The sequence below is a fragment of the Homo sapiens genome, chromosome X (genome assembly GCF_000001405.40).
Source record: "Homo sapiens chromosome X, GRCh38.p14 Primary Assembly".
Lineage (NCBI taxonomy): Eukaryota > Metazoa > Chordata > Mammalia > Primates > Hominidae > Homo > Homo sapiens.
In genome coordinates, this window is record NC_000023.11 from 15,526,005 (window position 1) to 15,545,978 (window position 19,974).

Consider the following 19,974-nt stretch of genomic DNA (forward strand, 5'->3'; position numbering starts at 1 on the left):
CTTTTCTGCACTCACGTTTTTCTCAACTCTTCTTAAGGGAATTCCCTGAGTCAAGTTCATCTGAAGAAGAGGAAAACCTGGATGATTATGAGTGAGTATTGAAAGTCTTCTGGGTTCTTCTAAAATTAGACATAGATACTTCTACTCTCTTCCTCAAAGACATTAAAACAGATGGCTGAGACCGTCTCAGGAGGCTGTATTTACATGGGTAAACTCACGTAATGTTCTGGGTCATTTATCTAGATGACAGGTGACAATGAGCTGGGTTGTTACCAACGAAAATATTTTCCCCAAAACTGGATTATCTAAATTGGATGCAAATACTTATTGGATTTATCGTATGTCCAGCGTCACCTTCATTTCACTTTACCTTTGTAGATGTAGCATATAATGTTTCTGCTCATTATTTCTTTCCTGGAGACCTCTAATTAAGGTGATGTTTGAAAGCTCTTATTAACATTGAGTAATATTTTTGGAGAAGTTATTAATGATGCAGTAATTTTACAGGGTAGCACAAATGAGACCTTGAACATGGCAATATTTATGTCGACAGATCTCTATTCTTAGGATGACCTTGTCATTTTTTTTTTTTTTTTTTGAGACAGAGTTTTGCTCTTGTTGCCCAGGCTGGAGTGCAGTGGCATGATCTCGGCTCATTGCAACCTCCACCTCCTAGGTTCAAGCAATTCTCCTACCTCAGCCTCCCGAGTAGCTAAGATTACAGGCGCCTGCCACCATGCCCAGCTAATTTTTGTATTTTTAGTAGAGACAGGGTTTCGCCATGTTTGCCAGGCTGGTCTTGAACTCCTGACCTCAGGTGATCCACCCGCCTCGGCCTCCCAAAGTGCTGGGATTACAGGCGTGAGCCACCTCACCCAGCCAACCTTTTCATTTAACATCAAAATTGGGATACTTTAGAAAGAGAAAAAGTGCACTATTAAAAATTATACCCGTTAATAATAACTTAATTATACATTTTAAAATAACTTAAAGAGTATAATTAATTGTTTGTAACTCAAAGGATAAATGCTTGAAGGGATGGATACCCCATAATCCATGATGTGATTATTATGCATTGCATGTCTGTATCAAAATATTTCATGTACCCCATAAATATATATACCTGCTATGGTGAGCCGAGATGGCGCCACTGCACTCCAGCCTGGGCGACAGAGCAAGACTCTGTCTCAAAAAAAAAAAAAAAAAAAAAAAACAACACAAACACACACACACACACACACAAATATATATATATATATATATATATATATATATATATACACACACACACACACACATATATATATACCTGCTATGTACTCACAAAAATTAAAATAAAAATTACACCTGGACATTTGACATAAACTGGACTTCTGGGCAAATAAGAACGTGTGGTCACCCCAACTATACTGAGAAGGTTGGCCTAAGTGGCTATTAAGGTTCTTTCCAAAATCTAAGGGTCTATCATTCTACAAATAGGGACAAATAATTGTCTCCTAGATGTAAAGATTAGTGTTAAGAAGAGGTGGGAATAATAGAGCATATTGCATTTCTCAGACACTTGATACCAAATGGCACAGAATTCACTTGAACACTAGGATTATGCATATTTCCAGTTCTGTTTTTGTACAAGTGTTGTATTATTGATTTATTGATTACATGTGAAACGAGAGCTTTTACAAAGTACATGCTACTGTTTTCACTCCTCCTCTCATCTCTAACCCAGCCTGGTCCTAGCCATACCTGTTGCATTGGGGAAGATGTGCTGTACCCTCCACATCTTTGTGGCATGGTCTCTTTATCACCTTCTAGCTCTCTTTCGGCTTTACTTTCTTCCCTAACATCTATTCTCAGGAAAGCATTGATGGAATAATTCATACTAAGACATAAAAGACTGAGAATGACCAACGCATGGTCATTTCCAAAGATAATTGCACTTTAATGAAACACAAAGACTTAAACCAATGGGAGTGAACCTCTAATTGTGGATTGTACTCTTTAGCATTTAAATAAATTAGAAGTCTTTCCCTGATTGGGTAAGCCCAGATATGACCATTTAAACAGTCTCTATTCCCATCTTTTCTGAATGCAAGTGGTGTGTGAGAGACAGACATTGAGGAAATTATCAGGGAAGACTTGTCCTCTTCAAAATCAAAAAGATACCAAAAGGAGCTCGGGATTATAGGGCTATAGGATCTGGGACTCAGTCACCTCACATTGTGCTTAATGCTCCCAGCTTCCTATTCTATCAGTGTCATGGGAGTTTTTGTTTTATGGCCATAACTTCATGAGCAATTCCAGTCAATTCCATTAAAGACAGAAGCACTAAGCCCTGAGATTTAGATAGAAAATCGTGTGTTAAGACTAGGCCTGGCCAGGTACAGTGGCACATGCCTATAATCCCAGCACTTTCAGAGGCTGAGCTAGGCAGATCTCTTGAGCTCAGAAGTTTGAGACCAGCCGGGGCAACATGACAAAACCTCATCTCTACAAAAATACAAAAATTAGCCAGGTGTGGTTGCCCATTCCTGTAGTCCCAACTACTTGGGAGGCTGAGGTGGGAGGATCACTTGAGCCCGGGAGGTCGAGGCTGTAGTGAGCCGAGATCATACCACTGCACTCCAGCCTATGTGACAGAGTGAGACCCTGTCAAAAAACAAAACAAACAAAAAAAAACCTTAGGCCTAGGACTCTGCTGCTCTGTCATTGAATACTGAAATATTATTTAAAACAATAAGAGGCAGGCCTCAGCAAAATTATGACACAGGCAACGTTTGTATGTGTGTGGGAGGTATAATGTATAGGGTACATAGGTTATATCACCTTGCCTCTCCAGGCCTCTCTCCTGATTCTTGATTTTCTTCCTTCTATTCCCCTGTAGGTATATATCCTGTATCACAGCCCCTGAAGGGCCTTTTGATTAGCTAGTATTACCTTAAAATGTTGACTAATAAGAAAAACGATCAGTTAAAATTTCAAGTGTTAGTTATACAGTATCCATAATGGTAGAGTTAAAAGAGACTTTCAAACTTATCAAGATCAACCCTCTCCCTAGTTTTACAGGTAGGGAAGTCCAAGGTCAAACAAGGCCAAGTGGCTTGTTCAAAGTCATACAATTACACATAGGGAAGTTATGCCTAGAACCCAGACCTCCAAGCTGGGTGACCTAAGGCTCTTTCTATTTTATTGAGCTGTCCACCAGCTGACATCCCTTCCCAAAACTCATACAGAGATTATACAAAGAATCACTTCCCATCCATTCCTGCCAAGTTCTGAGATACCTTCTACATTGAATTTCTCCTATAACTCCTCCCTTCTACCCTCACCCCCCTCTTGTACTTATTTCCTCTGCAGATGTTATCTTCTAGCCAGTGGGTCCTCCCACTCACCCAAACCCATGCTACATCCCACCTCATGCCCTGCTTTTACTCATTTCCTAAGTAGGACATTCTGTCTAAAGCCCAAAGGCCACAGACATTATTGCCCTCACATGAGAAACAGCTCTTGGCCTGTTGAGCTCCACATATAAAGTAAAAGCATTTGATGTGAAAATAGATGTTATAATCAGATTATTACAAGGAAATTATATGATTGGAAGACAAGAGCTTTCATCCTTGGCAGCCCTGACTTTCCTCTTGGAATATTCTTCATAGGTCTAATCTCTAGCCCTTACTCAAAATGGTAAAATGTAGGAAAACTTAGAAGTCACCTAGAAGAAAACCAAAGATTCCTAAATGCCAGCCCATTTAAAAATTAGATGTGCAGACTCCACCCCAACATCAGAATTTAGTAGTGGGGACTTAAGCATTTGTATTTCTGAAAAGCTCCTCAAATCATTCTCTGGAGCAGTTAGGCTTGGAAACCCCTGAGGTAAGCCAATGCCTCATTTTACAGATTAGAAAGTTGAGTGTCAAGCTATACAATCTAAAACTTATTGATTCTCACATATAATTTTTTTCCTTTTGCAGCTGGTTTGCTGGTAACATCTCCAGATCACAATCTGAACAGTTACTCAGACAAAAGGTAAATAGTCTTGTCTTTAAAACAGCCTCACAGAATCTCTTTGCATTTTGGGGTCCAGAGGTTGATGCATTTCTCATAGAAACCTTCCTGCTAATTATATAGTCAAGTCATTGTAGTGTTGCTTGTCCAGTCTGTGGGTTGCCCGACTCTTCATGTCTAGCCACTACTTCTGTGTCCATTATGTATTGCTGCATAATAAACCACTCCTAAATTGGGTGGCTTGAAACAGTGGGATTTATGATATCTCATGATTCTGTGAGTCAGCTGGGCCAGCAGTTCTTAGGCAAGTTTTGCTTAGGGGCACTCCTGTGGCTGCATTTGGGTCGTGGATTGACTGGGGGCTTGGGTTTAGCTGAGGCAGTCAACTGGAGTTCCACAGTTCTTCCCCAAGCAGTCTCTCCATGTGCCTCACTTGGGCCTCCTCACAGCATGGTGATCTCAAGGCAGTAGTTGAAGAGGACGAGCCCCACAGTGCAAGCACTTTTCGAGTCTCTGCTTTTGTTGTGTTTGCTAAGGTCCTATTGGTCATAGCAAGTCACATGGCTCAGCCCAGAGTCAGTATGGGAGGGGACTGCTCACAGCATGAATAAGAGAGATGATTTATCGGAGGCCGTCAATGTAGCCATTAACCTCAGCTCTGTCACTGCTCGTTAGCACCTAGACCAGAGTATAGCAGATGTGATACAGAACATGTTTATCTGACTTTATTACTAATTGATATGGAATGCCAGTAGCAAACTCTTTTGATTTCTAAAAATGACACTTTGATATAGTTTAACCTGATAAAAACACTAAACATTACACTTATTTCTTTGAGGGGTGCTAGTGAGAATGTAATGACTTCATTTGGCGTTTTGTCACATTCATAGTTTATAATCTGCTCTTTCTGAACTTTGATCTGCTTAGAATTAGCACAAATCATTGAGAAAGACAACTTGAGTATAGAACTTTATCAACTGATTTATTCTTGATCTTTGGTTTTCTAAAACCTTCCAAAGGCATGATACGGTGATACACGGTTCTAAATTGTATTTCTTAAAGATGAAAACATTAGGCTTGCATAAGCACAACACCGAGAAAAGTAAGTGATAGGGTTAAATATTAATTGGAGAGGAAGAGTTCATACACATACACATACACATAGAGCAGATCTATAAAGAGATTGAGTGAGAAACCTGTGCCTTTTGTGATATATAAAGTCAATCTAAAAGATTTGTTTTCCAACTACCTACCATGCAAAATCATTTTCAAGAATGATGAAAATATTTTCTATTCCTTCTATATTTTCCTTCCTTTTCAGGGAAAAGAAGGAGCATTTATGGTTAGAAATTCGAGCCAAGTGGGAATGTACACAGTGTCCTTATTTAGTAAGGCTGTGAAGTAAGTATGATACGGATTAATTTCTTTTCTCTTTCTGCGTATATTCTTTGAATATGCTGGTCACAATCACATTTTGGGATAAGACATCATCTTTAAACTCTGGAATTTTAAATCAAAGTATTTCTATTGAATGTGACCATTTGTAGTTGCCTCCACCACTCTCACCCCACTGCCCCACCATCCTTGCCCCACTACTTTCAAGAGGCCATTCTCTGGCTAATCCTCTCCTGCCCCACTCCAGGCAGTAACAGAGTGCCCAGAGCACAGCATGCCTCAGTAAATGTTTATTAAGAGACTCTCGGGTGATTCCCTTTCATTCAGGTCTAAGCCTGGAAAGAAAAAAAATAGCAATGGAGCGTCTATACTCTCAGCCCTAGCCACCTGCTGAGCAAAGATGCCTACTCCAGTGTCCAGTTCTTAGTAAGCCCTTCCACTGGGTGCAGAGTTAGCAGAAGGTTGACTCAGTGCTGCTGTGTTCTCTACACAGCTTCCTTCCAGGGCTCTGTCCTCTTTGTGTGACTAAAAGTTCTTGTTTGAAGCCAAACTTCTAGATCCAAATCCTGGCTCTACTATTTCAATAGGGCTTTGTGACATTGAGCAAGTTTCTCAGCCTCTGTGCCTCAACTTCTTCATTTGAAAGGGGAACATAATGATTGTTACGTTCTATGAGTGGGGTGAGTTAATTAATATATTATATCCAGAACAGTGCCTGACACATAGTAAGCACTTAATAAACTAATAGTACTTACTATTATTGTTGTTGTTGTTGCTGGGGAAGGGTAGTTCTACCTGCTCCACTCCCTGTACCCTAACACTTGGGCATAAAAGACACCCCACAGTCATCTCATGCAAATCATCATCAAAATCCTTCTCCAGAGTTTTACAAGCCACTTTCTTATTGGTAGTTAGCTCTTTTTTTTTCCTTCTAATCGTCCTCCAAAGCAAATGGGAAAGCTGTTTTTATTTATACCATATTGCAGATGAGAGGATTGAGGTTCAAAAAGAGCTTATAAAGACCTACCTGGAGCTACTAAGTGACTAATTTGAAGCTGGGCTTCCAATAGCCAAGTCATGTTTCTTTATCTACACCTCTGTGTTTACACTGAACCCCCAGTGTTTTGGAATGAGAATCTGGTCAAATATTGATTCGGATCTTCTTTTAAATTTCTATGTGTGCAACTCTTTTTTAGCAGCTAGATTGAATGATCGTCTGCCTTGGTGCCTTCCCCATGTGCCCTACCCCACAGTGCATATATGTATATTTATAATAATTAAGTAATAAAAACGTTATTTTATTTTGAAATTTTTTACAGAGTGCCTACCTACACTTGAGATAATAGGATGTACCTGAATTGTCCCACAGCACTTTCCAATGCCAGAATCCATGTCCCCAGTGTATCTCATATATTATTTTGCACATGGTAACACCTGGATGCTGGCTAAAGCCAACCCAGTAAGAATCAGGAGAAGACTTTGTTGACTATCAAAAGTTTTGTGGCCTTCTGGCCCTGCAGTTTCAGCCAAACCTGGTATCAGATGTCCTTGTAGTTGAGTTTCTTGACTACAGATTCATTTTTTAAGGTAGCCAGGTAGATAAATCAGCAAATAGATAAAGAATCAAATGAATACAGAAGCCCTCTTTTATGAAACCTCATCAATGGCCTTGAGTGAATTGTATGCTGACACCAAAAGCTGATTAAACATTTGCAGCAAAGAGAAGAACCATTTCTCCTTTTGTACTTGCAATTTTTACTCGGTTGATGTTACAGCAACAATTTTTTAATTTTTTAGCTTTTATTTTAAGTTGATTGGTACATGTGACAGGTTTGTTATATAGGTAAACTCTTGTCATGTGGCTTTCTTGTAGAGATTATTTCATCACCCAACTACTAAGCCTAGTGTTCAATAGTTATTTTTTCTGCTCTTCTCCCTCCTCCCACCCTCCACCCTCAAGTAAGCCTCAGTGTCTACTATTTTCCTCTATGTGTCCATGTGTTGTCATCATTTATCTCCCACTTACAAGTAAAAATATGTGGTATCTGGTTTTCTGTTCCTGTGTTAGTTTGCTATACAGCAACAATTTATTAACTGTTTCTTATATGCCAGGCATAACCATATAGGTAGCTAGCAAGTGATAGAACTAAACTCAAAGCCTGGTTCTTGACCACTATGTCATTGTCTACAATCTAAGACAGGTGTATTATTCCTGATTAGCTTAAATCAACGTGCATCAATTCAGCATTATTGTATAAAAGCAGAGGAAAAGAAAAAAGTGTTTTATGTGGAGAAGGTACAAGTTCACATGAGGAATTAAAGGACATCCTCACCTACTTCATTCTGCATGCCCCAAAAGAGCCTCCTCCCATGTTTTGGGGTGAGGATACCCAACAGCCTAATCACCTTTACCTCTCTCATTTCCACCTCCATTATTATCCTATAAGATAATTTATGTTCAGAATAATGATCCTGAAGAACTACAAGCCTCTCTCGATCATCAAAGAAAGATTCCAGTTTTATACACTTACTAAGGGAGGAGAAGCCTGGAAAGTTGGAATTTTACTGTACATGAAATCTATATGTGCACCAAAAGATACATTGAGTTCAGAGAAGAACTCTCTTCCATAATTACTTTTATAGTTACACCAGATTTCAAGACTGAGAAAAACACCAGATGCCAAGCCTGAGAAAACCTCCCTGACTTCCCTCTCCAAAATTTGCAAATGCACCTAAAATAATTATTTAACCCTTGCTTAATCAAGCTTTATTGTTTATTTTAAATGTTCTAACATTCTTTCTGTTACTAGTGATAAAAAAGGAACTGTCAAACATTACCACGTGCATACAAATGCTGAGAACAAATTATACCTGGCAGAAAACTACTGTTTTGATTCCATTCCAAAGCTTATTCATTATCATCAACACAATTCAGCAGGTAACTTATTTTAGTTTTTCTTTTATGGGCCCTTGTTGTAAAACAGCAATTTTCCTGGATACTACTGATCCTCCTAATATTCTTAATTATATAGGGAACCATGAAAGTAGGAAAAAATCCTCTCAAGTCTTTTGCCTATCATAATTTTTAGCTTACATTCCCAGGAATATAACATGATTCTCTCCTTAATGCCAGAAAGAATGAAATTGAGTAAACTGGGTGACTTAGAAAGAGAAATTCTCTTTATAAAAATATTCGTAGGGTTTTTCTGTGTATAGAAGCAAGAGGATTATAAATTTAAAATATTATAGAAATATATACATATCGTTGGATCATGGACCAGTTGTCTATTATGACAGGGTTTTTTGCATGCTGCCACTAGCACTTACTAATCATTACATATATAAATAGAAATTATATATTATGTATATACATTACATTTTTACAGAGATGAGATCATTCTACACATATTGCTCAGCTTGCTTTCTTTACTCAACATGTCTTAGAAGTCTTTCCACGCAAACACAAAGAGCTTACTTTGGTCTATTTAACAGCTGTGTAGAATTCTATCATAGTTACCCCATAATTTATTCACCTAGCCCTCTGTTGATTAGCAGTTGGATCATGTCCAGTATTTTCACATTATAATGGATGTTTCAGTGCACAATTCTGCATGCATAGCTCTGTCCATCTATATGAGGGGTTCTATAGCCAAATCCCTAGAAATGGAATTTCTGAGACAAAGGCTAAGAATACTTAAAATGTACAGATTGCCAACTGCTTTTCAGAAATGTACAATCCTACTAACAACATTTTCTTTCATCCTCACCAACACTGGGTGCTATTAGTCTTCTAAATTTTTGCCTAATCAACTGGTGGAAATACATCTAGAAATACCCTCTGTTTTCTAGAATAGTGCCACTTAAGAGCAGTGGCTGGATGAATTTCCAACAGTGAGTAAAAATAAGCCATAAGCTCAGCACTTAATTTGTGTTACTTTATATGACTTGATTGCATGCATGTAGGTGAATTGACCTCACTTCTGGCTTTCATTTTGGCTCTTACTGATGTTTTTCCTTTGCCCCAATTTCCTCAATTGTTTATTTTAACCTGTAGTACCTCAGAAGTACCTTTTGTAAAAGGTATTGCACAAAGAGATGCACAGGAAACTTCACAGGATATCAGAAGGAAATATTAAGATGTTTATTTATATTTGGATTTTTATCTCATTCTCTTACATTTTCTGTTTGTGAGTTTATTTTTATAATTCACACCAAATATATATTTTATAGAAATGTACTAATTTTTACATTTTAATTAATTAATTTAGTTGATTAAAGGTAAAGGATTTTAAAAGTTTGGAGACCACTCATATAAAAACCAGACAAATATATAGAAAAAGGAAGGAGGGGAAAAGTACATGTGTGATAGATAGGTCCCTTGACTTGGAGAGCATTCCACATTTAAAGCAAAAAACATATATACATATATTTTAATGGGTTCTTTCAAGCCACTATTAAATTTTATAATTACTTTAACCCAGTTTTACCATAACTAAATATAAACAATTAAAATGGCTTGACCACTTAATGAAACTTAGTAATAGGTTCAGTTTTTAAAAATTCAGATGGCTTATTATTTTTACCCTTCTGTATTGTTTGAATTTTTTGTCAAATGTATGTGCTGTGTGTATACATATTTTAAGCATAAGATTGTAAAGAGATAGCAAAAAAGAAGGGGGAGAATTTTAAAAGATTACATCATGCAATTAATTTCTATGGGATTTTTAAAAATCACATACAGTGTTTTATTCATTTAATTTTCGCTTTGCATTAAGCTAATTAGTCAAGTTAAGCACAACTACAACTGAATGGATTCTCTCTCTGCATTACAACATTCTGAACTCTTTGCTTTTTCAGCCACTTTGGAGAGAGACTAGTTGTGAACCAATGTTACATAATGTGATGGGATATGATATAATGATGTGATGATATGATGCTGATTCCATTGCAGGCATGATCACACGGCTCCGCCACCCTGTGTCAACAAAGGCCAACAAGGTCCCCGACTCTGTGTCCCTGGGAAATGGTATGGATACATACTTGGGTTCTTAAACTCCATTTTCCATCATTTTTTATTTAAATATATGGTTAATTTACTGGCAAAAAAAAAAAAAAAGGAGGAAAGACAGGAAGGAGGCCTCTGTTCAGATTGTATCAGGAAGGATTTTCTTTAAAAAAAAAAAAAATCTGTCCTCTCAACCTAAATCTGTAAGCTTCTAGAATCACCAAGAAGATCATCAATTTGTTTTCTTATCAGACCCCATTATTAGCCTCCAGCACACCATTGTCTGTCCTATCTTTTTCCTGGATTTTGTGCCCACTGAGCAGAGCCAGTATTCAACCTTGTGTGTTAGGACGATCACATCCACTGCGATCACAGTTTAATTTTTTTATTAAAAAAATCTGACAATGTTTTACCAATCTAAGGACATCGAGTACATTTTGATGCTAAGCCTCTCCAAGATGCCTCTGATTGGCAAATTGTTTTTACTCTGAGCCTTCTTGTTAAATAACTGTAGCTACTTCAAGAATAGTGTTACCCTGGTGCCATTATCACGTAGCCACAAGACCACATCACTAAGGGTTTTTTTTTTTAACTTATCAACTTAAAATAAAAAGTCTTGTTTATATTGTCACTGTGAAACTCCCATTGGAGAAGAAATCACTTGGGAAGCTGTTAGCCCCAAAGCTTTCTATGCTCGTCCTAAAGAATGTCCGTCTTGCCTTGTTAGGAATCTGGGAACTGAAAAGAGAAGAGATTACCTTGTTGAAGGAGCTGGGAAGTGGCCAGTTTGGAGTGGTCCAGCTGGGCAAGTGGAAGGGGCAGTATGATGTTGCTGTTAAGATGATCAAGGAGGGCTCCATGTCAGAAGATGAATTCTTTCAGGAGGCCCAGACTATGATGTAAGTTTTTCCCAAGGAATGGCTGTTTAGCCCTCATCATGGGAGGGCATTAGCACTAATAGGCCTGCTGTTAACTTTGCAAGGCCTAGAGCAAAAGTCCACATACTGTATCATAGACATAAATATTTAGAAGTTATAAATTGAACTAACAGACTATTAAATCAAATCAGTCTTATGCTCCTACTTTGACAAATATACCTTCATAACAACCTGAAAGGCCATATTCAAATTGAGAATTCCCAAGACTCTACAAAGAAACCAGCCTCTGGCCTGTGGTCTTCCAAACTCCACCCCTCCTGCTTCTCCCCTCATACCCAACTCCGTCCTGCACTATAAGGGGCCTCAGTAGTTATGTACAGACACAGCATTCAGTACACACAAGCTCCCTCTTTGTCTCCCGCAAACAATTATCTAGTGGCTAATGATCTTGGCTAGGGGTAGTGTGCTTTACCCTTAAGCGGACAGACTCCTTAAGGAAGAGTCAGCACAGGTCCTGAAAGAGGCCTCAGGACTATATGGTTGGGTGATTTCAGAGTCCTGGTGCTCTAAGGGTGGCAGAGAAAGGGACATATAGGGTCGGAGTAGGCATGTCTCCTTGGCCCTGTGGCCTCCTTGCCCTGTGGGGAGGTGCATGGTGGGATGAAGAACAGAGTGGGGCTACCACCCAGAACTAATGCAGTACTGAAAATTAATGCTCTACCAACAATATCCTTTTCCTTCTTGGTACCTTCAATACAGTCTAATACTCTTCCTAATGTGTCTCAGCTCCCAGCACAACAGCCTTCAATTATTGGCAATACATATGTGTTCTCTTTCCCTCTGTGTCTTCTCTCTCTCTCTCTCTTCCCCCTCTCTCTCTTTCTCTCTCCCTCTCTCTCCCTCTTCCTCTCTCTCCTTCTCTCTCTCTCTCCCTCTCTCTCCCTCTCTCAGTTGTATATAATTCTCCCTCTTCTTGTCAACATAGTAAATCAGACTTTGTAGAGTGACCACCATTCAGGTTTGCTGAGGTCTGGGAGGTTTTAGCACTGAAAGTCCTGTGTCCTAGGAAACCTCCCAGCCCCAGGCAAACCAGGACAGTTGGTCACTCTACTTTTAGAGAATCAATCAGTATGGTATGAAAAATGATGTTATAGTAGGTCTCTGGTCAAAAATAGTTGAAATAAAAAAATTCCTAGCCTGCTAGAGATTGAGAGCACTTTTTAAATTTTTACTTAAACAGTTATACTGTACAGTGTTTACAGGCATTTCTCTAAGCACTTTACAAATATTAACTCACTTAATCCCCATAAGAAACCTATGAGGGTTGTACCATCGTTATCTTAGATTTACAGGAAACCGAAGCACAGAAATGTTGAATAACTTGTCCAGAGTCGGCAAGCTAGTAAAAGTCGAAAAGCAGAGATACAAACCCAGGCAGACATTCTAGGGTCCATTTCTTTAGTTATTCTTTTATGAAGACCAAAGGAATTAGGAAAGTCAGAACAATCACTTTTACCATAATTGCAAAATTATTTGGAAGCAGAGATGCTATGTGAATATAGGCCTTTGGCCCTAGCTGGCTTCATGGGCATATGAGATCTGCACAGTTGCAAGGGCCTAGAAGTACCTAGTACCTAGAAGGTACCTAGAAGGGCACAGTACCTAGAAGGGCCCTGTGCTTGGTTTAATGCTCTGCTGTTGTCATCTTGAAGTAATACTTCGTGATTTTTAAACAAGGATTCCTGCATTTTCATTTTGCATTGGTGCCTGCAATTATGTAACTGGTTCTGCCTTCAGTGATTGGACTGTCATAAAACTGGGAAGGGGGCCCCTGATATTCTCCTCTTGTAGGACAGGAAAATCTGGCAGAAACTTTCTGCCAGATTTTTCTCATGGTTACAGGCTCATGATGTAACCTCTGTGTCTTGGTGTAACTTTAAAACATATTTTTGCCATTACCAAGCTGGTATCCATAAAAAAATCACAAGAAGTCATTTAAAAACATCACCTAATCATAAAGAAAAACGTCAAACTGTGCCACAATGGGAAAAAGTCTAATCCCAAATGTAGGGGTCAAGCTGAAGCCTATCATGTGGGGAATATCAGTTAATATGGCGCCCTCACCTTGAGCCACCTGGGCAGTGACTGAATTTGTTCAAAGAATATTTCTTTATTGGGTGATGGACCTTTGTGCCATCACAAGCCTTCCCTCTGAAGGGAGCAGTGTTGAGTACCATGCAGGTCTCCAAAACTGCTAAAAGATGAATACTCCCAAGCTCATCAACTTGAGTGACATGATAAGCATTGTCCCTATAGTTAAACTAAGAAGGAAGAAAATAACTAAAAATTTAATAAATTCTTATTAAAATATTTAAAACTTCACATGTTAAATTTAGATTTCTTTACACATTTGAACATTACAGAATAATCCTGTAAATTGTTAAAATTAGATTAATCATATAAGAACAAGTTAATGAGCTTGTAAAAACTGAGTGTCCCTTCTCAAAAGAAGACATTTATGCGGACAACAAACATATGAAAAAAAGCTCATCATCACTTGTCATTAGAGAAATGCAAATCAAAACGACAGTGAGATACCATTTCACGCCATTTAGAATGGCAATCATTAAAAAGCCAGGAAACAACAGATGCTGGAGAGGATGTGGAGAGAAATAGGAACGCTTTTACACTGTTGGTGGGAGTGTAAATTATTTCAACCACTGTGGAAGACAGTGTGGTGATTCCTCAAGGATCTAGAACCAGAAATATCATTTGACCCAGCAATCCCAGTACTGGGTATATATTCAAAGGATTATAAATCATTCTACTATAAAGACACATGCACACATATGTGTATTGCAGCACTATTCACAATAGCAAAGACTTGGAACCAACTCAAATGCCCATCAATGTTAGACTGGATAAAGAAAATGTGGCACATATACACCATGGAATACTATGCAGCCATAAAAAAGAATGAGTTCATGTCCTTTGCAAGGACATGGATGAAGCTGGAAACCATCATTCTCAGCAAACTAACACAGGAACAGAAAACCGAACACCGCATGTTCTCACTCATAAGTGGAAGTTGAACAATGAGAACACATGGACACAGGGAGGGGAACATCACACACTGGGGCTTGTTGGGGGGTGGGGGATAGGGGAAAGATAGCATTAGGAGAAATACCTAATGAAGATGACGGGTGCAGCAAACCACCATGGCACATGTATATATATGTAACAAACCTGCACGTTCTGCACATGTATCCCAGAACTCAAAGTATAATAAAAAAAAAAATAAAATTTAAAAATCAACTTCTGCGTGGCAACAAAACAAAATAAAAACCCTATGCAAACTAAAAGACAAATGATAAACTGAGCAAAATTATTTGTAATTCATATTATGGACAAAAGACTAATCTCCCCAAAAAGGCTAATACCTCCAAACTCATTAACAACTACACTACTGCACTGTTTGTTTGTACAATGGATCACTCAGAGTCAGCTCAGAATCTAAGAGTAAAGTACATGTCAATCCAAAAATGTGTCCAAATTCACTGAAATACAATGTAGAACAGAAAAGAAAGAGTAATTGGAGTTGCTAAGTACTTTCAAAAGGCTTTATGCTTAACCGTGAAGACAGTAAAGAGAGTAAAGCAGCAGTTCGGGAGCCTGTCTGGAGAAGTAAAGGTGATATGGCAGCACACTGCTAGAGACTCCGCTAGACATTTAGCTTAACCTATGCATCTCACAAATGGAAAAAAAAAAAAAAAGATAGGTGAGAAAAGATATCATGAGAAAGGTAATTAAGGTAGAAGAATCACACTTTACAAGAAGGTTTGCTTGATTTCTTTTAAGCTCTAGGCTAGTACAAAATTTAAGATTGATATTACTTAAATTAATAAGAAACACTAAAGGACTCTTCAATTCGCAAGATTAAACACTTCCATCTGGAACATCTGATTACTAAATAATAGCCCATAGCTACATTACGCTCCATTTTCTTCTACTTAACTTTATCATTTTAAAAAGGGTGCTGGGAAGAGGTACGGTAAAACCATCTGCCATAATAAAATGAAAATTATCTCATTAAAAAAAAATCTGAGTGTCCATGCCATCATGACCTACCAGAAGTGCTACATCATATGGTTAGTATTTTATAAATTTGTTATTCAAAAATAATGAAAACAATAATGTAAAATAATTTTTTAAAAAAGAAAAAAAATCAAACCTCATCTGACTTCATTTAGCCTACATTCTTCGTATTCTAATATACTTTTTTAGAATGAAATATTTAGATGTGAAAGTTAATAAAAGAGAAATGATTGTTCTTAGGGTGTGGCTTCCTCTAAATAAGTCATGGACGTTCCCAGGATGCCATGAGACTCAACAGGGTTTCCAGTGCAACAGACCATTGCTACCCTGATTCTCTGTAGGAAAGTTGAATACAGCATTCACAAACTGCTAAATTGCTGCTGAAGTCACCAATGTCTGATATGAGGCAGAAATTTTTTTTGCCTCCAAAGATAATTGTGCTTGAAATATAAGATCCTAAACTTTTCCCTCTCTTTCTCTGTTCAAGTGAAAGAGGGTGGGGGTGGGAATTAAAACAAACAGAAATCTGAGAGCAACTCTTTTTCAGTACATGTAGAAAATGGAGTGTGGAGCATTGAACTTTGAAAATCTGTTATTTCCAGGAAACTCAGCCATCCCAAGCTGGTTAAATTCTATGGAGTGTGTTCAAAGGAATACCCCATATACATAGTGACTGAATATATAAGCAATGGCTGCTTGCTGAATTACCTGAGGAGTCACGGAAAAGGACTTGAACCTTCCCAGCTCTTAGAAATGTGCTACGATGTCTGTGAAGGCATGGCCTTCTTGGAGAGTCACCAATTCATACACCGGGACTTGGTAAGCAAAGCCATTGGAATTTCAAAGAAAAGAAAGCAGTCCACGGCTCCCACTTCTGGAGATGGGGTCACTGGTAGGGAAGGCAAGAAGGGCACCATCACTTCTACTTTGCTCACTTGTGACTTGTTTAAGCAAATGACATTTTTACAAAAATCAATGTAAAAATATTTGAAGTATGGAAAGAACAGTGAGAATAAAATAAGCTGTTAAGGTCTACATAGCTGTGTTGTGGCAAGAAGGAGAACAGATGGAAAGGAAAGACTTCTGCCAATTTAGTGTCTCTCAAAACCATTAAACCCAAATTGACCTTCATTTCAGGAAGGGCTTAGTGCTAAAGCAGCCATTTGATACAATAACTGAACATGAAAAAAAAAAAAGGAAATAGAATTTGTGTGTCTTTGGATCAGAATGAGAGTGGGGAATGCTGTGTTTGGTATTCACTGGGATTTATCTTTAGAGATTTTCTTGCGCTCAACAGTAGACCTGCATTCACACTAGGCCAGTGTGTTCCCTAAGTCACAGGTGCAGCGTTTATGCCTTCAAAGCATCTGTGAATGCACGGTATCTGGTGGTGGAAAGGGAGATTCTAGAAATTTCTCATCTTTCCTTGATAAGCTAAGGTTCTGTGTTTAAAGTGTAATACCTTTTCATGTTGTTTGACAAGGATGGATGCTTGGTTGAAAGTACTCATGGGAGAACATTTTTATTTTGAAAAATTGAAAATTGCAAAGGAAAAAAAAGACAACTTTAGAGCACTTGGGGGTTGTGCTAGGTAATCTTAGATTTTGCTGAGAATTCTACTCAAAAGGAGGAAAATGTCAGGAGATTCTTGGTCACTTTCACTACTTGGTGATTTTGTTTTTCCTTTAAAGGCTGCTCGTAACTGCTTGGTGGACAGAGATCTCTGTGTGAAAGTATCTGACTTTGGAATGACAAGGTAAGCCAATTCCGAAAGGGCAACCAGTGAAAGGGGGATTTCCATTCACATTTGAACACCATCATAATTGAAGGCTTTGTGGGGATATAGAAGGTGCTCTGAATTGGGGGCTTAGAAACCTAAGTCCCTCCCATGGGATTGTTCTTCAGAAATTATCTGACGTCACTTTTAGTTCTTTCAACAATCTGATACTTTCTAAACTTCTAAATAAATTCCATGAAAGATCCTAAATTTAAATACAACATGTTACAGCCACATTATTGGATTGTTTTACTTTCTTTTAAATTTTTTTATTTTTAATTTTTGTGGGTACATAGTAGGTATACATATTTATGGGGTACATGTGATGTTTTGATACAGGCATGCAATGTGAAATAATCGCATCATGGAGAATGGGGTATCCATCCCCTCAAGCATTTTGGAGTACTACTCAGCCATTTAAAAAGAATGGATAAATATTTATAATTTTTTAACTCAATCAAGGATCTGCTAGCTCTTTTTGTCTGTCATTAAAAAAAAAACCTGATGTTCAAATGGGTAGAGCATTCACACTAGGAAAATTTTTGTTGTCACATCATTAGATTTTCTGCATCACAAAGTAAGGCATAAAACTAGACTCTGAGATTCTCTTGATGGGCATTCTACCACCACTTAATGATGTGGAACAATTATTTTGATTACGATCGTTTTTTTAAAGTCTTCTTTTACCTTAATCCTGTATCCTAATACTATTTAAGCCTCAGAGCAAATTTTCATAGTTTTGCAAAGAAAACGAAGACATACACATTAACCTTTCTATTCAACATTTATTGAGTGCCTACTGAATACCTCAGTCCTGCAGGAGATACTGATATGAATAGGATAGTCCCTGCTCTCAAAATGACCACAGTTTAGTCTAGAGGGCAAGTAGATATCCCTGACATTGAGACAAAATATAACTATAAAGTTGTGCTGACTCAATATGTAATTCTGAAGGTGAATAATGCAGTTTAAAAGAGATCTGAAGAGTTGACCAAGGCCAGGTTAATATTTAGCAAACATTGCCCTAAAATGCCATAGGAGGATCTGTTTTTTTAATGTCTTCTCCAAAATTCAGTGTTAGGGGATGCTTTTTGACCCTTGTGGCACATACCGTGGAAGCTATGGTAATTCCTCTGGGAGCCCTAAATATTGGCAAGATGTCCTTTTAGCTGTGTACTAGCTACCGTCACTCCAACCACCATACACTGAGTCCCCTACACTGACCCTCCAAACATGTAGCTTTCTCAAGAGCAAGAAAAAAAAAATCTGCTGACAGGTTCTTAAAGCAGGGAGAAGCTCCCAGGTCAAGGGAACTGATCCCCACCTTTACTCTAAAAGCAAGAATATTGGCTGTTATGCCAGCATCCAGGGAACATGCTTTCACGTTCTCTGTAGCTTTGGAAAAGGGAGACTTTTCCAAAAAAAGATCCAAAGAAAAAAGAGATCTTGCTCTGAGTAAGAGATCCTGGAAGCCATGTACCAGCCCTGTTGGTTATGAAGCTCTGTGGCCACATCAATTAGATGCCTGTGACTTCATTTGCTCCTACTAGCTTGAAGGAAGGTTTAAGCCATGAGCATCCCCAAACCAGGAGTGCCAGGGTAGTGTCTGGGTATCTGGTAGTGTCTGGGGAGCTGAGGGGTTCTGGGGAGAAAAGTATGGAATGTACTGTATGTAATCCTATGAAAGTGTAGTTTATTAATATTATTGTTAATATTTAGAAGGATGATCTTCCCAGCCAGCTATTTTAAATTACAGTGAGATCTCTAAAACATTTGGTGTGTAAATTATATCCAAAATTCCAATTGCCATAACTCCTGTTGTTCTATTTTCTCTAATTAAGAGTCATTATGTGTTTGTTTTTGTTGTGGTTTTTGTGGGCAAATATATGATGTTCTCTTTTATTAATACTATAAATAATATGTACTTATTATAAGAAAAATAGCATTAGTGTAGAAAGTAAAAAGTAGAATTGTTAGCAGCAGTGAATCCGTAAAGGTCTGCAGCAACTCAATTCTTGCCTCCTCAAAGGAAAGGATTCATCTGAGGGGCATAAGGCAGAGAGAGAGACTGAGGCAAGTTTTTGAGCAGGAGTGAGAGTTTATTAAAAAGTTTTAGAGCAGGAAGGAAAGGAAGTAAAGCACACTTGGAAGAGGGCCAAGAGGGCAACTTGAGAGATCCAACTGCCCTACTTGGCCCTTGACTTAGGGTTTCATACATTGGCATAATTCCAAAGTTTGCATCTTTTCTCCCCTGATTCTTCCCTTGGGGTGGGCTGTCTGCATGAGCAGTAGCCTGCCAGCACTTGGGAGGGGCCGCACGCACAGTGTGTTTACTTAGGTTGTGCGCATGCTCATTTGAGGCATTTTTCTTTTACCAGTCGAGTATTCTTAGAGGAAGGTCATATACCAGTTAAACTCCATTATTTTGCCTCTTATTGCGCATGTTTGACCCCAGTTGCCCAACTCCTGAGATCATATCAGGAAGCTGTTGATCATCAGCTTCAAGTATTTTCTATCTATTGGGAGACTGCCGTTCCCTGGCACCAGCTGCGACCAATTATTATTTTAGAGAGACGGTTAACAACTGCCTGACTATTACCTGACGGTCACCTAATATTCCTGGGTTGGGGGTGGGGGATCTCTCCTGCCCTGCTCATGTCTGCCTAGCTACCTATTCTGACAGAATCTGTCCCTCATTTTCAGTGCTAGGAGTAACCACTGCTCAGATGTTTGGTGGGTATCCTTTCAGACCTCATTCTTAAGTGTATCCAATCATATACACAAATATGCACATTTACTACTTGTTCCCACACACAAAAAAT

General features: G+C 38.4%; 2 protein-coding genes across 5 annotated transcripts in view; one reads left to right on the top strand and one right to left on the bottom strand.

Moving 5' to 3' along the window:
* The window catches only part of BMX (BMX non-receptor tyrosine kinase), a 55,713-nt gene that overhangs the window by 25,198 nt on the left and 10,541 nt on the right, over window positions 1–19,974 (top strand). For 3 of the 4 annotated variants that reach the window (NM_203281.3, NM_001320866.2, NM_001721.7), the window contains exons 9-16: window positions 38–91; window positions 3,969–4,023; window positions 5,324–5,403; window positions 8,208–8,335; window positions 10,349–10,423; window positions 11,130–11,301; window positions 15,978–16,194; window positions 17,067–17,131. In NM_203281.3, the coding sequence (NP_975010.1) occupies window positions 38–91; window positions 3,969–4,023; window positions 5,324–5,403; window positions 8,208–8,335; window positions 10,349–10,423; window positions 11,130–11,301; window positions 15,978–16,194; window positions 17,067–17,131 (846 nt within the window). The remainder of the gene's footprint in view (window positions 1–37; window positions 92–3,968; window positions 4,024–5,323; window positions 5,404–8,207; window positions 8,336–10,348; window positions 10,424–11,129; window positions 11,302–15,977; window positions 16,195–17,066; window positions 17,132–19,974) is intronic. The other variant, XM_017029752.3, reaches the window with a different exon arrangement.
* The window catches only part of ACE2 (angiotensin converting enzyme 2), an 89,015-nt gene that overhangs the window by 7,808 nt on the left and 61,233 nt on the right, over window positions 1–19,974 (bottom strand). The window lies entirely within an intron of this gene.